This window comes from Homo sapiens, chromosome 8, assembly GCF_000001405.40.
Source record: "Homo sapiens chromosome 8, GRCh38.p14 Primary Assembly".
NCBI classification, from domain to species: Eukaryota; Metazoa; Chordata; class Mammalia; order Primates; family Hominidae; genus Homo; species Homo sapiens.
In genome coordinates, this window is record NC_000008.11 from 61734450 (window position 1) to 61740449 (window position 6000).

Below are 6000 nucleotides of genomic sequence, written 5' to 3' on the forward strand. Positions count from 1 at the left end.
AAAGGAAGTCTTGTACTATATCAATGTCAGCTTGCATTTAGTAAGTCAACATTATCAGCATAAGGAACTTGTCTTGAGAGTAAATATTTGTAAGTTTGAATAAGTGGGCCTGATTGCAATCTCATAACTAAAATGAGCCGGAAAGAAAGTGACTCACTGGAATTACTGTTTGCATTAGATACTCTATACTGATACATTGCAATATGTTCCGTAGGTCATAATATTACTTCCTCAAAGACTAAGATATTCTGAGAGAGCAAAAGTTGATTTTGTATAAATCATTTTCTTTTGAAATGTAAATTGTGTTGCTTTTTATGATTATGGAAATACTATTTGATAATTATACATTTGGAAAAGGAAAGAGAAAAAATTAAGTGCAATCTCACTGTGAATATTTGGGTTTCTGTTCATGTAGTTCTTTTTATTCATGTATACATATGTGTTTTTTTTTCTTCCTCCTTTTTAAAATGTATTCAAAAACACACTGGGCATGCTAGGCAAATTAATTATAAATATGTACTATATAAACTATCTACATATACACTAGTATATATACATAAATAATTATACTATATATATATAATTATACAGAAAACTTTGTTGAAATTTATGGGGAAATGGAATAGATGTTCTGGTGCTTTTTTCCTAATTTTTCCTATTTTGCTTCAGCCATGCACACCCTTGGCTATACCCAGACTCGGTCATTATTCAGCCCTGTCCACATCTGAAGACTCAAGTTCTAACCGTTACTTTCAGATTGCAACACTCTAGTCTTCCTCTTTTCTCACTCAGCTTCTCCTGCTACATTACTTTTCAACCATACCAATTCCTTCCAGTCACTTGAACTTTCTATTTTCTTCCCAGTAGCCCCCTTCCCTCATCAGTTCCTTCTCTATTTTGCCCAGATCCTGCAATCCACATCTGAGACTTCCTTTATCGACAATTTTTTGGTCATATTCCCCAGTCTCCCAATAATGAACTAACATAACTATAACTGCACACTTTGCCAGGCTGCACAGACCTGCTGTCTTACCACTGCCAGAGAGGGCCACCTAACCTCATAGACAGGTTCTGCCATAGTCTTCCATTGATTCTCCACAATGGTGGAAATTCTGTTTCAGGCTCCTATTATAGCAACTGTCAACTTAAAAAGGTGGAAATTCTGTTTCAGGCTCCTATTATAGCAACTGTCAACTTAAAAATCACAGGATCTTCATAAATTTGAGATGAAGAGGAGACATTATTTCTTGTAAGGGTTACAGCCTACAAGGTCGCCAGGCTGAGAAGTGTGCCTCAGGCAAAGACCAGAGCCAGGGCTTCAAAGGAAGAGGGGTTGTGGTAGGAGCTTTATGATGAAGCATGCATATTCGACAGGTTACAGGAGAAACTATGCATTATTCATGAAGGTAGTCCTGACACATGCATATTGAATAAAAATGCATGTAACATATGACCCATGTTTACTTTGGGGTAGAGATATCCCACTTAAACATTAGTAGAGATGGGGTTTTACTGTGTTGGCGAAGTAATCCCAGGCACATTAATTCTTGTTTTTACAGGCACATTAATTCTTTTTTTTTTTTTTTTTTTTTTTTTTGAGATGGAATCTCACTCTGTCGCCTGGGCTGGAGTGCAGTGGCACGATCTTGGTTCACTGCAACCTCTGCCTCCCAGGTTCAAGCAGTTCTCCTGCCTCAGCCTCCTGAGTAGCTGGGATTACAGGTGCCTGCCACTACGCTCAGCTAATTTTTTGTATTTTTAGTAGAGATGGGGTTTCACCATATTGGCCAGGCTGGTCTCGAACTCCTGACCTTGTGATTTGCCTGCCTCAGCCTCCCAAAGTGCTGGGAATACAAGCATGAGTCACCACGCCCAGCCTTAAACACTAACTCTTATTGATATGGTTAGACTCTATACATTAAAGAGTCTTTTCAGGACACAAAGGCACTCAGGTGTGCAGCCTCATGTAAAGTGGCCAGAACCAGTCCAAGGGCAATGGTCTCTTATCAGGAGAAAGTCACTAAAATCAGTCTGTTGTCCAATCAAAGCTGTAGCTATGACTGTAGAACAGGGGTTTAGTTAGTCCGTGTCCATGAGCTGGATGAGTTGTAATTGTTTTAATATTGCTTATCTTGAGGCTATTGCTTGTTTCACTGCTGGAGAGAGAAAAAAAACCTTATGGCAGTTACAGCATAGTTTATTCTTTAAGTGTAGGGTGCTAACTTAAGGGATTACTTCACTGTTGTATAAATTGATATCTTATTACCACGAAGATCCTATTTTATCTGTTTTATAATCTCTATTTTAACATGAATACTGATCAGTGTTTATGTCTAAATTCCAGAAGAGAATGGGCGTAATGAAGCATGTCTGACCTCTCATTCCATCATGGGCTGGAACTCAGTTTTCATGTTTTTTTTTTTTCTGGGCTCCCTTGGCCAAGATGGGGGCTGTTCAGTCATTGGGATGCTTGGGATTTTATTTTCAGTTTACTCAACCATCCCAACCCTTCTTTGCTCTCCTTACTTTCCTCTCTAAATTCTCCCCTGCCCCTCCGTTGATGGCTTTTCTTCCTACTTTACAGAGAAAACACAAGCTGTCAGATGGGAACTCTTCAGCTTCCTTCCATATCTCAGCCATAAACTTACCTACTTCCAAAGCACCCCTTCCTCCTTTTCTGTTTTCCCATTAGAAATAATGGCTCTCCTGCTAAGTTGTAGTCCTCTGCCCCTGTTTGAGCCATTTTTATGGTGATTATTATTTCTCCCTCTTATATTTTCTGTCTCCCTCTCTCCTGTGTCCTTCCCTTGGACTAGTGGTTCCAAATCTGGCTGTGCAGTGAAATCACCTATGGAGTTTCCAAAAAAGTAGTGATGCCTGGGCCTCACTCTAGACCAATTTAATCAGAATATCCATCAATAGTGTCTGGCCATAGGTATTTTTATTTTTTTATTTTTAAGACGGAGCCCAGGTTGGAGTGCAGTGGCGTGATCTCTGCTCACCGTGACCTCCGCCTCCCGAGTTCAAGTCATTCTCCTTCCTCAGCCTCCTGAGTAGCTGGGATTAGAGGCATGCGTCACCACGCCTGGCTAATTTTTGTATTTTTAGTAGAGATGGGGTTTCACCGTGTTGGCCAGGCTGGTCTTGAACTCCTGACCTCAAGTGATCCACCCGCCTTGGCCTCCCAAAGTGCTGGGATTACAGGCGTGAGCCACCACGCCTGGCCAGTCATAGGTATTTTTTTTAAGTTTCTCAGGTGGTGCTACTTTGTGGCCACAGTTGAGAACCATTGACTTACTTGTCTGAACATGCTCAGTTCTTTAATATACAAAACCCTGCCCATTCCTCTGTCTCCTCTTTACAATCAAATATCCTAAAACAGTTGCCCACACTTGCTGCCTCCTCCACTATCAATTCACCCATAGTTAAATTTTGTTTCTTTTTCCAACACTCTGAACTCCACAACCTCCTTACTCCTAAAATTAAGGACACCTCATTCCTGGTTGCACTTAACCTGACTAGGACATTAGACATGTATTACTCTTTTCTTCATGGAGAACTTGACTTCCCTGGCTTCTGTAATCCTCCTGCTGGAGGTTTTGCTTGCTTCTCTCTCACTGCTCCTCAGTGAGTTCCACCATTGTTCTGGCATCTGCCTCCTCTGCCTCTTACTCCATCAGCCTCTCATGTTTCACTGGCTGCCATGGCTTCCGCTGCCCCTGTAAACTGGTGATGCCCAAGCATCCCCAAAGTGGCAGACCTGTGGTGCCAAATTCCTTCTAAACGCCTGTATTGTTATAAAAGAAAGTTTGCTTCTAAAATAAGGTAGTGCACCTGGTAACTAGAGAAAGTTAAATGTCTCCGAATAATGACAGGCTCTTAAAATTTTACAGGGCAAACACTGTTCCTTTTCAAAAGTATGTTTTCTGCACTCTACTCAAATAGCTCTTTGAAATTTGCTATCTTACAATTAAAGAGTATCATTTCCTTCTCCTGCTGAGAACACTCTGCTGGGAATCACTGGGGCTTCTCTCCCTAACCTCACCTTTTCCTCTTCTGCCTGCACCAGACAGGTCTGGAGGCAGTGTTAGATTGTACTTGGGCATAAAAGAAAGCTTTTAATTTCAATGTGCTAAGGAGCTAGAGTGACCAGTTTCCAGTTCCTACCAGACCTCAGATTTTGTTATATATCACATATGAGATCAACCTGGAAGAATGCTAGAAAACCTAAAGCACTGAAAAATTTGAGAAACCCCAGGGGTGGGGAAGAGCGGGGGTAGTATGTGAGTATGAAGTAGCTTTGGTGAACCATAGAAGGTAGCTGAGATGCAGCTGGAGGATGAAATCGGAAGGAACATTTTGCTTTTCTTGCTACTGCTTTGGGCCAGACAGAGCCCACCTGGACATCTGCAGAAACCTAGAGCCCTAATTTAAGGGCCTTTGAAAGAAAATCAGGGCAGCACAGAAGTTCTGTGCTTAAGAGGAGCAGAGAAAAATAAGTTGGGGCTGATTTTGGACACTGCTTTCTCCGCCCCAGTTCTTCCATACCCCTGCGATGGTGAATTCTACTCTTGAAAGTCGTTGCAGGCTTGCAGTCATCCTGCTTGCAGTGGGTGAAGGGGGCGGGCCAGTAAGGGTAAAGTGTGGGAGCTGAGGAGCTGGTCTGAGGCAGGAGCACTGGTTGATTGATAAGGTTTGGGGGTTGGGGCTCTCCATCCTGGGCCTATTCACTCCTCCTCCTCTGAGCTCAATGGGGCCATGCTCTCTGGAGTTTTGCCGGACACACTAACCTATACATTCAGGGCAAAAAGCAGCTCACCAACCAACATAACAAGACGTTCGAGCTGCACTTCAAAAGAAAAACATGCTGTGTTACAGTTTGCCTAAGTGGAACTCTTAGAACAATAGGCCAAGAATATCAACATAGCCTGATAAGCACATACAAAAAAAAAATGAGATAAAAGAAAGATATTGGCAATAAGAACAAGAAAACAAAAACAAGAACCCAGCAGACATATTTGATATTTCCACAATTATACTTTCAATAAAATATGCACCATTGTGAAGAGTAAGGGAATGGATACAGCTGAGGAAGAAATGTGCAAACTGGAAGAACACATTGGGAAAATTTCCCAGAAAGGAAGACAAGGCAAAGAAATAAAAAACATAAAAGAAAAGTTATGGAATATAGAGGAGAGAAGTAGCACTTCTAAATAATAGCAGTCCTAGAAAAAGAGAAAAACAAAAAAAGTAAGGGGATGAAATATTTTTAAAAATCATTGAAGAAATAACTGAGATAAATTTCACAGAATCAATGTTAAAAAAAGACCTTGGATTGAAGAGACACATAGAGTACTAAAGAGGAGAAATGAGGAAAAATGTCCACACCTTATAGTCAAATCTAGTCACACCAAGAACAAAGAAAAAATTCTAAAATCTACATATTTAGAGAGAAAAATAAAAAAAAACAAAAATTATATCACTACAGAGGATAGAGTAGTGTTTTCTGAAACAAAAGGAAAAAATTTAGGAAGTAGAATTTTATATCCAGGCAAACTGTCATTCAAATATGGGGACATAAAAAATATTCTCATGCATGGAAAGCTTTAGAAAAATAATATTCTCTCGTACAGAAATCTTTGGACACCTACTCATGCAAAACTCCTCATTGAAAAGAGTTTCATTTGAAGTATTTTTAAAAGAGAGACAAATCTAGGAGACTTGCAAGAGATCATGTGAAGAAAAGATGATCGATTATTTTGATAATGTTTGTTGTCTTTACAGATTGCTGTGACAACTGAAGGTTTGTGGGGTATTAATCTGAAAAGTATTTAGGGTAAGGGATAGGCCAAGGGGTGTGAGAGCATGCTGAAGTTCTTGTCTTTTGGGTCATAAAATGAGACATAGAAAAAGTGAGAACAAACTGAAATAATACATAAATATGGTAGAAACAGAAATATATATCAGTTATTACAAACAAGTAAATGCACAAAACATACC